This window comes from Homo sapiens, chromosome 8 (genome assembly GCF_000001405.40).
Source record: "Homo sapiens chromosome 8, GRCh38.p14 Primary Assembly".
NCBI lineage: Eukaryota > Metazoa > Chordata > Mammalia > Primates > Hominidae > Homo > Homo sapiens.
The window spans coordinates 11,121,739-11,135,687 of NC_000008.11; the positions used below are offsets into that span (position 1 = coordinate 11,121,739).

Here is a 13,949-nt window from a genome sequence, read left to right on the forward strand (position 1 = left end):
TGTTTATTGCGGCACTATTCACTATAGCAAAGACTTGGAACCAACCCAAATGTCCAACAATGATAGACTGGATTAAGAAAATGTGGCACATATACACAATGGAATACTATGCAGCCATAAAAAATGATGAGTTCATGTCCTTTGTAGGGACGTGGATGAAGCTGGAAACCATCATTCTCAGCAAACTATCGCCAGGACAAAAAACCATATACCACATGTTCTCACTCATAGGTGGGAATTGAACAATAAGAACACTTGGATACAGGAAGGGGAACATCACACACAATGGGATATTCAATATTCAATAGCACACAGTGTGCCATAAAGTGAGTGATAATCAATTGTTTTTCATCTCTTCCATCCCAGACACAAGGCCAATCCAGATGAACTGCTGTTGCCACAGTCTCTTTCAGTGATCTTAAGTCTCCAAGCCCAGCTCCTTTGAAAATACGGTCTTGCCTTTTTATGGGACACCCACTATTACAGACAGAAGACATGAAACCAGTCAGGCTGCCTGGTAAAACGTCACTGAAGATCAGTCTCTAGGAAGGAGGCAAAGCTGAATGTGCTACAAAACTATTATTTGTCCATTTTACTTTACAGATCTCATATTTGCCCCAAATCAACACTAACCAGAGATAGAATACTTTAGTTATATAGCTGAACCATTCAGCAGGATGACAGGAGGCATAATCATGTCAGCATGGCTAGATTTTGGCCCTCACAGGCCCCTCCACCTGCCCAAAATGACAGGAGTCTCACAATTACTGTCACTGCTGACTACTAGCCAATGGGTGCGTAAGCAGTGGCAGGTATAAGATTTTGACATTTTTCCATTGGCACTCTTATTTAGAAAATAAGATATTCTTTAGATATCAGGCCAATTCTTTAGGTATCAGGCCACCATAATTGGTAAATAATGTAATTGTTCTTCAAAAAGTTAGTGACAGCTTAAACCTCTCCTCATGGTCTGTTTACCATTGGTAATCACTGTCAATCTGTTAGCATCTCATTTTAGTTCATATTTATTTTGAGGGCAGATTGACTCATACTATTTAATCTGACTTGGACCCTCACTAATATTTGGTATGGTTGATTCTGTTTTCCAGGGGAAAACTAGACAGGAAAAAGTAACACACAATTCATGTAGCAATGGAATAAACAAGCTCACTAACACAATAAGTTAAAATTTAAGTGATTAAAAAGCCCATGCCTCTGCCGGGTGCAGTGGCTCACGCCTGTAATCCCAGCACTTTGGGAGGCCGAGGTGGGTGGATCACCTGAAATCAGGAGTTCCAGACCAGCCCGGCCAACATGGTGAAACCTCGTCTCTACTAAAAATACAAAAAATAGCCAGGTGTGGTGGCACACACCTGCAATGCCAGCTACTCGGGAGGCTGAGGCAGGAGAATGGCTTGAACCTGGGAGGTGGAGGTCGCAGTGAGCCGAGATTGTGCCACTGCACTCCAGCCTGGGTGGCAGAGTGACTCTGTGTAGAAGGAAAAAAAAAAAAAAAAGCCCATGCCCCACACACAAACAAAACCATTTACAATATTTCTCTTGACAACTTGCTTTAAGTTGCCAACAACAATCTGGTTATGGACCTTGTCATTATAAACATAAAGATTTTTTGTTTTTTTTTAAATCGGCAAATTCTATGTTGACAAATACTGTAATCCAGAAATCTGCTTTTCTACTTCATATTGGACAGGCAACTAAAGTAGTCACATTGAACAAGGATATGCCCCACCTTCAAGACCAGCTGCTACAATGTGAAGCCTGACAAAGCTTCTATGACAATATCATCACCAACCTCAAACTGGAACTAATAGAAATAATCATAATGGATATACACGAGGATTAAAAATTCAAGTGTGCAGAGTTTAAGATACTTGGCTATATAAAGTTTAAAATACTCAAATATATCTTTATGTATATATACTTGTCTATATTTCATATTTTTCAAGAGGCTGAATCTCCTGAAGAAATCCAATATGCACCCCTACCCCGGGAAAAAAAAACAAAAAATGAAAAACAAAAAAGTCTCCTCATCTCAGTGTAATGCCAGACACTATTTGGAAATAAACACACCAAGGCAGTTCCAGTGTCCCGTGGTCCCCACCTGGCACCTGCACTGTGCTCTCTCTTCTGGGACTGCCCTTCCCTCCCTCATGATGTTCTTGGCTTGCCACCTCATCGCAGCAGAGGATCGGCTCCAGTGCTACCTGCTCAGAGGCACTGCCGTGAGCAGCCTCTCTAAAACAGTCCTGTCTCTTCATCAAATCCCAAGCAATCTCTAGGCCCCTCCTGTCCTGCTTGAGCTCTCTCTCTCTAGCACGATTTCCTACTAACATACTATATTTTTACTTATTTACTTTATCTTCCCTACTAGAATGATTCTAATTTACTGGCATTTACATATGAAACTACAGTTTAATCATTTGAGGGAGAAAAAAGCCAACCTTAATGCTATTCTATTATCAAGCATATTCATCTTACCAAAGAGGAAAGTGAAACCCCTCTGTTAGGCAAAACACAAACCAGGATGTGGCTAAGTTTCTACCCTTCATTTCTACTGGACTCTTGAGATCATCAATAACCCACTCAGCGGTGGGGCCAACTCGATGTGAACACAGTACACACATCCAATGAAACATGGGATGTAACTGGCAGAAACAAGCACGTACATTTTTTGAAGTAGAGAAGTCACAAGCAGAAGCTGAAAAAACAATTATTACATGGGCTCCATAGAATTAGAATAAAAATCTTTGTCAAAGCTCAACAAAATACTGAAATTGACTGATAAACTGATCAAGCAATTATAAAAGCCTAACTGTGAGTACAAGAGCACTTTAGGGTTGGTTGAGGCGAACAGAAATTAAGAAGAAAAGAGAGTTTAAAACACTGCAGGGGGGTAGGAGAAGGTTGGAGGGAGGCACAGGAAGCCAACAAGAGGAAGCAGGAGCAGACAGAGATGAGAAGTGGGCAGTGAGTAAAAGACGGCTCCATTATCTCCAGGGCATGAGGAAAATACAGGGCACTTTTTAAAAAAAGTATTGATGCTGGGCTGGCGCAGGGGCTCACGCCTGTAATCCCAGCACTTTCGGAGGCTGAGGCAGGTGAATCATGAGCTCAGGAGATTGAGACCATCCTGGCTAACACGGTGAAACCCCGTCACTACTATTAAAAAAAAAAAAAAAATTAGCCGGGCGTGGTGGCAGATGCCTGTAGTCCCAGCTACTCGGGAGGCTGAGGCAGGAGAATGGCGTGAACCCGGGAGGTGGAGCTTGCAGTGAGCCGAGATCACGCCACTGCACTCCAGCATGGGCAACAGAGCAAGACTCTGTCTCAAAAAAAAAAAAAAAGAAAAAGAAAAGAAAAAAAAAGTATTGATGCCAGTAGGAAAATGTGAAAGCAAGCGTGGGGCCATGAGGGAGTGCACAGGTCACATGCCCATGACTCTGGCCCTGCTCACCCTGCTAAGGACCAAGCTGAGGACCGGAGGCGAGGCAACCGCTGCTGCTCTTCCTGCAAGAGGGGCCAGGCAAATGCAGACCATCTCCTTACGTACAGAGACCCTAGAACCCCGCACAATTCACAGGGCACATCGAGGCCTGAAGACACCTTTAGGTGTGCTCAGGTTATTGATTTTAGGCAAAGGGGAGGGAGGACAACACACCAAGATCTAGAAACAACTCCATGGTTGAGTATGAGATTAATTACCACAGAACAGGTGGGAGCTTACTAGGCAGGAAACATACAGAATTGTGAAGTTTTGTTGCAGGGCCATAACGGAGATGATGTGAGTCCTGTCACCACCCAGAGAAGATCCTCATGGCTTCCTGAGACCTATACACTCTAACTGAAATACCTAATAAACAGCCGTGCGAAGGACAGAGAGGACTTTTCCCTGTTCCTTAATTGCAGTACAAATTCCATACCTGCAAAAAACTAAAAACAACTGTGTTCCCTTCCTCCAACCTAAATTCCTCTCCAGGTTAAATATTTCCATTTCTGTCCACTGTTCTACATCTGTGCATCTGTACCTACATCACTCTTCAGTTTACCAAAGCCTCTCATAAAACGTCCAGGACCCTCAGAATGTTTAGTCCCAAGTACAACAAAACCGATGCTCTCCCGTGTTCTCAGTACTATACTTCTACCCATGCAGCCTAATGCCATGTTGCTTCTCTGGCACTACCTCCTAGTAACTCACAACAAACTTGATGGAAACTCTAAATCTCTTTGTCTTTCTTGCAAACACCAAGTAAGTCTGCTCTTCTATAACCTATACTTTGGCAGTTTTTTTTTGGTGGTTTTTGTTTTTTTTTTTTTGTTTTGTTTTTTTGAGACAGAGTCTCCCTCTGTCGCCCAGACTGAAGTGCAGTGGCATGATCTCGGCTCACTGCAACCTCCGCCTCCCAGGTTCAAACTATTCTCCTGCCTCAGCCTCCTGAGTAGCTAGGATTACAGGCGTGCACTACCACGCCCGGCTAATTTTTGTATTTTTAGTAAAGACGGGGTTCACTATATTGGTCAGGCTGGTCTTGAACTCCTGACCTTGTGATCCGCCCACCTCGGCCTCCCAAAGTGCTGGGATTACAGGCGTGAGCCACTGTGCCCGGCCTACTTTGGCGTTTTTTAAGTGATAAAGTACAAAACTCTACATTTTCTTATGCTACATTTTATCTTGTTTTTGGCCTACTACTCAGTTCTTGAATTTTTTTTTTTAAGTTCTAAAAGCGAATGTGTCATTAGTCTGGTTTTTGATTATAGAGATTCAAACTTACAAAACGCTCCTTCATATTACTTCTCAGCTTTGCAACGCAGGGCCATGTCACTTAAGGAAAACACCTTATATCTCACAAGAGGCCTTCTAGAATTGTAGTCACCTGCCGAATTTCCAAGATCCACAGACTAATCCTCACAGGGTCAACAAAACAATCTATTAATGAACAGAGCCATCTCTGGAGTCAGTTTCAAAGAACTGAACCATTGGACTAAAACCAAAATGCCAACTCGACAATGTTAAGTGAAAATTATAACCTCAGAGACCAGGAGATGTTAGAATCCTGGGGCCGATGTATGTGCCCCTCCCACAAGCCCCACAAACAAGTCATGTTGGAAACTGATATAAACCAAAGGGACCCAGATGATGAAATCATTGGCTCAGTGTGTTCCCTCCATGTAGGCATGCCACACAGCAAACCAGCTGTAATCCAATGTTTATTGAGCAAAGAAATCAAAGCAACTGGTCATCTAACATATATTTAACAACATCAGGGTAAGTTTGTCTTGTGTATCATTCTTTACAACAGGGTTATACTCTAGGACAGTAGAGTACTAAGGGTACTCTAGGTGGTACATTGGATAAACATCATCACTTTCATGAATAACCAACTCCCTTCCGGCAATCCCACTTCTTAACGAGATGTACTAGAATTCCACCAGACTGTGGTCAGATTCAGCTGGCCTTGGAGGTGGTTATTCTGTTCTACAAGCTCTGGAGTCACACTGGTTGAGTTCAAGGCCAAGCTCTACTGCTTTCTTTTCTAATTATGTGATCTTCAACGAGTTACTTATCTTTTTTAAACTTCACCACATAATAAGTTACCCATCTTTTCTAAATTTCAGTATTAGTTTCACTATAGCAGATGTAACAAATTACAATTACAATTACACTTACCAGTGGCTTAAACTAAGATAAATTATAGTTCTGTGGACTAAATGAAGGTGTCAGAAGGGCCACATTTCTTCTGGAGACTCTAGAGAAGAATCCACTCCCTGGCCTTTTCCAGCTTCTAGGGACCACATATATTCATTGGCTTGTGGCCCCTTCCTCTGCCTTCAAAGCTAGTGGTGTAACACCTTCAAACCTCTCTCTAGTTCTGACCACCCTACCTCTCTCTTTCACTTAGGAGGCCCCTTGTGGCTACATCAGGCCCACCTTACCCAGATAATCCTGGATAACTGCTTCATCCCCAAATCCTTAATCACCTCTGTAAAGTCTCCTTTACAATGTGCGGTTACATATTTATAGGTCTGGGGATTGGAATATGGACACTGCGGGGGGCGCCATTAATGTGTCTACCCCAGGGCTATTACGGTATAGTTTTAACACTGATTTGACGTTAACCAGTTGAAATTTAATGAAGCAATACGATTTTATCTTAAAATTTTGAACACTGTTACCTAAGGAGGACATGGCTATTTCAATGCATAGTTCACACTAAAATTAGACTGCATTTTTCTATTTCAGTTTTCACATAAAACGACATGCATTTGATTTATCAGTGGAGGGTAAAAAATAGAAGAGTTAAGCCATCAAAATCTTTACGGCTTTACCAATTAATACGGGACTAATTAAACAACAAATTAGCTAGAATGAAGTTAATACGTAAAGGACAATCTGAATGTTTGGTTGAGCTTTTTCTACTAGAAACAGGAAACCACACTGATCTGGTTTTCACCTTACCCCACTGGCCAGACCTTCGCACTCCCCTTTGCTGGATTCTTCTCCTCTCCCTGACCTCTAAAGCCCCAGTGCATCCAGGCTCAGTTCCCAGGCCTTCCTGTCTACACTCACTCCTGTGGGAAAGTCATTCAATCTCAGGGCTTTACTATCTGTGCTGACGCTCCAGATTTTATAGGTCTCAGTCAGACCTCTGAACTCCCGTCTCCTTCATCACAACTGCCTATTTGATAGCCCATCTCAGATGTCAAACAGGTATATGCATATTTAAAACCAAATGCCTGATCTTCCGAATGACCAGTTCTAGTAGTACATCTCATTAAGTGGGACTGCAGGAAAGCAGTTGTTTAGTCATCAAAGTGAGGCAGTTTTAATGATGTTTATCCAAGTACCACCTAGAGTACCCGCAGTACTCTACTGTCCTAGAGTATAACCCTGTTGTAGAGAATGATACACAAGATGAAATTACCCTGATGTTGTTAAATGGCTGTTCATTAAACACCTATTCCATCCCATTAAAAATCTTCACATCATCCTTTCCAACTTTCTTTCCCTCACATCCATTATGCCCATCAGCTGACCAAATTAGCTCAACCTTCAAAATATATCCAGAATCTGATCACCTTACCACCTCCACTGTCACCATCTTCAGCCAAGCCACCATCATCTCTTGCCTTGGTCACTGCTAACTGATTTCCTTTTAACCTTGTTCCCCTGGCTTCTTTAATAAAGCAGCCAGAAAGTCTTTTTTTCAAAAGAATTAAGATTTTTGGTTTGTTCTGTTCTCTCTTGTTAACTGAGGTGAAACTTACACACAGTGAAATTAAGCACATCTTAGGCTTCAATTCAATGACTCAGATGCATCCATGTAATCAAGAGCCCAATCAAGAAAATACTTCCAACTTTGGGCTATGATGAATAAAGGAGTTTCTTTTGGAGTGATGAAAACATTTTGCAACTAGACAGAGGTGATGGTTGCTCAACATTGTAAACATACTCTTACACGCCACTGAATTGTTCATTTTACAATGGTTAATTGTATGTTATGTGAATTTCACCTCAAAAGGCTATTTCTGTGAGAAAATACCTAATACCCCTGATGTAAAAAGCTAAAAGTTTTATCACTGCAGTTGTATCACTGCAGGAGTCAGGTACTTAAGAGATTTTTCAGTTTTATTGATGGTACTTAACAACAACAAAAAAATATTATAACCACCAAATGTTTCTTGAGTGGTTCACCCTTGGCTTTAAATGTTATCAAACAGTGGAGAGCTGCTCTCCACTTCCACAGGAGGACCATTAGATGCCCATCTTCAAGAGTCAGTAACTAACTCTAGAACCCAATAAGAATATTCATGGTACACGAACAGTCACAGAATACCATGCGCTGTTAAGAAGACGTTTCTTAAAAGATTATATACACTTAGTGTCAGACACTTTAAATGTTATAAAACCTTGATTCTACCAGAATTTAAATTTATCATAAATCTATAATTTAAGGATTTTGCATTTGCATCTAATTTTTTAAATCGATGTGGGAAGGAGGACAGGGAAACAGGACAGAGGGATCTTTTCTATCCAGCCAAGCCAACTGTCTTTAAAGCATAATCCTTTCCATTTTCTGCAAGTTCACAATAAATGTGTGAAGACAATTCAATCTTCACTTTTTTAAAAACCAATCTCAGCTGCTTGATATATAACAGGAGATGAGGAAAAACGCTATCTGAGGTACAAAGCTCAAGTGTCAATCTGAATTCTTAGTTCCAGATTGAATGGGAAATCCCTATCACATTTCTTACAGAGAAGATCTGACAATAAAGCGCTGAAATTAATTCTCCAAAGCCACAGAAAGGTAATCTCATTACATACTCAAAACACACACTTCTGAAAAGACAAGAAGGTCCTTTTCACTTCTAGAACTAGACAGTGTTTGGCATTTAAGGAAATAACACTATTTTGTGGCTGGTTGTGTGTATGTGTGTATGTATTTAGGGTTAAGATGTGTGCACTCAGTTTACAGTTTAATTTTTTTTAATGCTTCCAAAATGATAGATTTTTCAGCAAATAGTTAAAATTCAGTTCCTCTTCACTTACTGGTCAAGATCTAAGTTCGGGATTTTTACGTTTTCCAAAGCACAAGTGTTTTATCGCCATATCTACACTAAGCCACGTAGTAGTCTGGTTGGTCTTGAAAGTATCCATCCACGCTCCTTGGAACCATCAGGATCAGGGGCGAGAACCGGGACGTGTGTGTTACACACAGACAGTGCAATGGACAAAAACAACAAAAGATGGGTTCATTAAAAGTCTGCACCCAAGTGCCGTAGTCTCTGTAGACTTCCTTAGGCTAAAGGGCTAGGGGCTGCCAACTATGGCTAAGACGGCCTTTTCTCCCTCGCCGGTTTTTTTTTTTTTTAAGTTAACTATCCCCACCTAAGGATGATGTAAAAGGCCACTCAGGAGCTGGTATCTCCTTCAGACAAAGGTACAGATTGTGTATCTTCCATCACAAGCCAAGGGATATGCTGAACAAATAAGAAGTACGACAGATGCCACACAGGGGGCCTTTGTAAAGAACACTGGACCCACATATGTGCACACCTCCCAGAATCAACACAGACCTTCAGGACTCCAGTCCCTTAAGTATATGCCACTTGACTGCAGCAATGGTAACAGTAACCTTGCAGAGCAGCAAATGTGTCCCCAAATAGTAGATTTTATAGTCAAACTACCTAATTCTGAGCAGAAGACCAAGAAATGATGTCATGACATCACATACAATATAAGCACATTTCATAAATCGCTAGTTATGTAACTGAGGACCCTGTTTTAGAGATTCTGTCCCGGGGGATTTCTCTTCTAGCTGTGGATGGTAATCCTTGTTCACAGCCACAATAACCTCAATGCAAAAAAACACTCTAAATACTTGGCACTGTATTGAATTCAGCATTTGTACACTCTGGTTCATCTCAGTGAGCCTCTTTCATTTTCCATAGCTTTATAGTTCCCAGGCTTTTTCTTTATTTGTTACACAGATGATTCAACTGTATCCTATTTCTGTTTCATTTTTGGTTCTTAATCTGGATTATGCCTCTTTAGCTTCCTATGTGGAACTGTGTGTGAATTTAGGAACTGAAATTTACTGGAAAGATGTAAAATACAAGAAAGAGTAATTAACATAGAAGGCATGATGAAATCATTTTTTTTGAGTTTTTCTTTATTTATGATGTTAAAGAAGAAAATTCCTGAGAAACATACTTAAACTTCATGATGTAAATAAAGCTAACGTTTTAAAAAATATTTCTGTATGGCTTAAAAGCATAAAATTCAAAAAGTGAACAAAGGTACACAATAAAAAGTTTTCCTTTCATCCTTGCCATTAGCCGCCAGTTCTCTTCCCCTGAAGTAGTCAGTGTTGTCTAGCTCTCCTTTTCCAGTCATGCAACACATTCACAACAATATTCTGGTCAATGATGGACCACATATCTAATGGTGGTCCCAGATGATTATTTATACCATATTTTTACTACACCTTTTCTATGTTTAGATAGGTTAGATACACAAATACTTACCTTTGCATTACAACTGCCTACACTATTCAGTAGAGTAACGTGCTATACAGGCTTGAAGCCTCAGAGCAACAGGCTATACCAGACAGTGTAGGTGTGCAGTAGACTATACCATCTAGGTTTGTGTATGTCAGTCCATGATGTTGGCACAAGACTGCCTATGCATTTCTCAGAACATTATTGTTAAGTGATACATGACTGTGTATGTTTTTCCCCTAGTGCTGCTGGCCCGAAGAGCCATTATCTTCTCTGCATTCTGTGCTCTGATACAGTGGGTCTCAAACTTCAGCACTGCTGCACTCCACTGACCCGAGATTCTGATGCAGTAGGTCTGGTGCAGCGCCCTAAAATTTGCATTCCTAACAAGCTCCCAGGTATGCCAGGCCCATACTTTGAAAAGCCTGATCTCATAAAATCAAGTAATCAGTTGTCTTTGAGACAAGTTATCCTCAAGATCAAAGTGAATGCATCACAGTCACAGGTGGTACTTACAGAGCTACTGTCTAAACAACACTATTCTACAGTCTGTACTAGTTTCCTCTTAACCAAACCTAAATAACTTACTTTCTTTCTTTTTCTTTTTCTTTTTTTTTCCCCCAGACGGAATCTTGCTCTGTCACCCAGGCTGGAGTGTGGTGGTGCAATCTCGGATCGCTCACTGCAACCTCCGCCTCCCAGGCTCAACCAATTCTCCTGCTCAGCCTCCCGAGTAGCTGGGATTACAGGCGCCCACCACCACGCCAGGCTAATTTTTGTATTTTTAGTAGAGACGGGGTTTCACTATGTTGGCCAGGCTGGTTTTGAACTCCTGGCCTCAAGTGATCCACCCACCTCGATCTCCCAAAGTGCTGGGATGACACGTACGAGCCACCGCGTCTGGTCAACTTTGTTACTTAAAGTTCTATGTCATACCTGGCAATGGCCTAATCTTCAACTTTTACTTTCTTCATACTGGCTCTGTCCCTTCATTCATACACACACACGCACGCACACACACACACACACACGCACATTTTTTTTCTTGGAAGACTTTTTTTATTACTTACATTTCTTTTCACCTGTAATGCTTTGTATGATGTGTGAAAAAAAAAAAAATCTTCCAATGGAGATGCCAGAAATAAATGCTCTAAAGACAAAAGTTGCTTTTCAATTTAGACTAAAAAGATACAAGTAAAAAAGAAGAGTTAAAAATAAATTTACACATTTTTGAGATCAAAAATCTTGTAAGAAAAATGGCAAAAAGTAATTCATTTGACATCTAATGTTATAGTGAGGAGACAGTGAGTTTCAAGTTGTACTGCAAAGCAAATATATGAATATAGTTGGCTTTAAATACAAGCATACAAGGGAGAGGGTGTGGGTACGAGGAATTGAAACCTAAACGCACATTTATAAAAAGCTTATCGCTTTCAGTCATCAGAAGTAAGGTATCAAAACATGATCATTGCTCTGTTTGTAACCAGCTAGAATCACAGGTTGACAGATCTACAAAAATACGGCGTCAGCTTCACATCAGGCCCTCCTTTGTGAGAGGCAAGGTGGAAGTGCACTGTAGCAATAATCGTTCCTCTGTCATGATTAGGGCCTCTGAGCTGGACCTAACTCAGAGGACCCTGGGGCACAGCATGTGAACAATACCCTTAAGATCTGCCTCCTGGAGAGAGGGCAAAAACTAGGAGGAGACCAAGCTCTCCTTAGGAATGTCCAAGACCTTTCGGAGTATGGACCTTGAACTGGCGGGAATGCTGTTTCTCTCAGAGTACACACTCTCCGGGGAGACTGAAAAAGGAATAAATGCTAACACAGTACAGGCTAGGACTCAGCAAAGAATTGTGTGTCTAAGAATAGACTAACCTTTGCTGGGAAAAGCATGCTGGCAGGGCTATACCTCCTCCTTTGGAAATAGGCAGGTGGCTGAAATACCCTATGTTGAAAATCCTCCATGTCCTCAATAGCCTGATTCCTTTTAAGACCAATGTTACTTCCCTAAGAAATGTCAGGTCTTACAACCACCCCACATCCAAAACATAATTAACTCTATGCTTTCCATTATATCATAGACCTATTCAGACCATGTCGGCTCCTACTAAAACCCAGCAAGACTTCCTCCCATTTATGGAATAAAGTCTAAACCCCACAACTTTGTCTATGGTGCTATTCATGAGCTGGTCTCTTATGTTTTTGACCTGATCTTCTATCAAATAGCCTCATCCTGCAATTACTTGCACTTCCCCTAATGCATCCTTCAGGCCCACAGCCCTGAGCCCCAGAACGTGCTGCTGTTCTATATAAATGGCCTTCATCACCACACCCTGGTTCCTGGTTCATTTGGAGAACTCTTACACTCTACATTCAAAACAGCCAAGCTTCCCTTCCTTCATGACACCTTCCTTGCCCACCCTTACCTTCTCCTCTATGTCCCCAAACAACCCTCTCCCACCTCTTTCATAGCACTGATCACAGTGTGTGTTACTGTTGTCCATCTGGATTACCTCCCTTTCCATACCCTATCCCAATGCCTTAAGGGCGTGGAAAACAAAGACTTCTGTCATATGTATCTTTGGCCAAGATTAACAAAAATGAAAATATCTGAAACTAATAAGTATTAGCAAGGATACAGAGAAAAGGGTAGCATCATACACTGTTGGACAACTTGGCATTGACTACTCCAAGTGGAAACACTGCACAAGTTACAATTCTATGCACTCATTTCTGTCTCCTAGGCACAATGGCAGGCATTCAGTGGGTGCCATATGAATGTGTGGCATTTGTTAAGATTTTTAGGAAACTGAAACACAGAAGACTTACATTTTGTATATTTTTATATTTTTTGGAAAAGAGATTGGATGGTTCTTTTTACTGTGAGTTGGAGTGTAAACTGGTACAACCGTTTATGAAGGCTATCTGAATACACACACGCACACACACACACACACAGCCCCAAAAGAAATTAACCTACCAGCGAAATAATCATGGACAATACTATATTCACAAAAATGTATTCCGTGGTGTTATTTGTAACAGCAAGAATTAGAAAAGGCCTAAATGACCAATAATAGATCAACTAATTAAACTACAGTACAACCACATAAAATGCTATACAACCATAGAAAATTATGTCATAGGATGACATTTAATAATACAGAAAGATATTTCCATTATACTCTGCTGAAGTAAAAAGGCTGGCTACAAATTTTGATTGTATTTGTTTATTTTAAGTATATAAATGTCAAAAATGCATAGAAAATGCACTAATTTTTTTTTTTTTTTTGAGGCGGAGTCTCCCTCTGTCGCCCAGGCTGAAGTGCAGTGGCACGATCTTGGCTCACTGCAAGCTCCGCCTCCCGGGTTCACGCCATTCTGCCTCAGCCTCCCGAGTAGCTGGGACTACAGGCGCCCACCAACAAGCCTGGCTAATTTTTTGTATTTTTAGCAGAGATGGGGTTTCACCATGTTAGCCAGGATGGTCTTGATCTCCTGACCTCGTGATCCGCCAGTCTCAGCCTCCCAAAGTGCTGGGATTACAGGCGTGAGCCACCATGCCCGGCCAAAAAGCCCTAAATTTTTTAATTGACAAAAATATTGAGTTTCTGCCACCCTGTAATTTAGAATCTACCCCAGGATAGATAGAATAAAGTTACCAAAAGTTAATCATGATTTACTTACAGTTTAATATTGCTATCTTTAAATATCATTGTAACAATTAGGACTGGAAGACCCAAAGAAAGATGACTTTTACTATAGTTTAAATAGTTGATCTATTATCGGTCATTTAGGCCTTTTTCTAATTCTTGCTGTTATCAGATATTAAACTATATTCTAAAATCACATTAACTAAAATAGTGTGGTATGAACAGAGGAACAGAAAATGGGTGAATTCATGAAAAAATGTCTGAAAACATGTACAT

At 40.9% G+C, this 13,949-nt stretch overlaps 1 protein-coding gene across 6 annotated transcripts in view, besides 2 other annotated features; it reads right to left on the reverse strand.

The window, feature by feature from the left end:
* Positions 1 to 13,949, reverse strand: part of XKR6 (XK related 6) — a 305,789-nt gene that overhangs the window by 225,694 nt on the left and 66,146 nt on the right. The window lies entirely within an intron of this gene.
* Positions 2,327 to 2,416: an enhancer, noted in NCBI's record as "active region_26998". NCBI's record gives its function as "activates an Ori minimal core promoter by ATAC-STARR-seq in GM12878 lymphoblastoid cells {active_cell/tissue: GM12878}" and the evidence as "EXISTENCE:reporter gene assay evidence [ECO:0000049][PMID:35858748]".
* Positions 2,657 to 2,716: an enhancer, noted in NCBI's record as "active region_26999". NCBI's record gives its function as "activates an Ori minimal core promoter by ATAC-STARR-seq in GM12878 lymphoblastoid cells {active_cell/tissue: GM12878}" and the evidence as "EXISTENCE:reporter gene assay evidence [ECO:0000049][PMID:35858748]".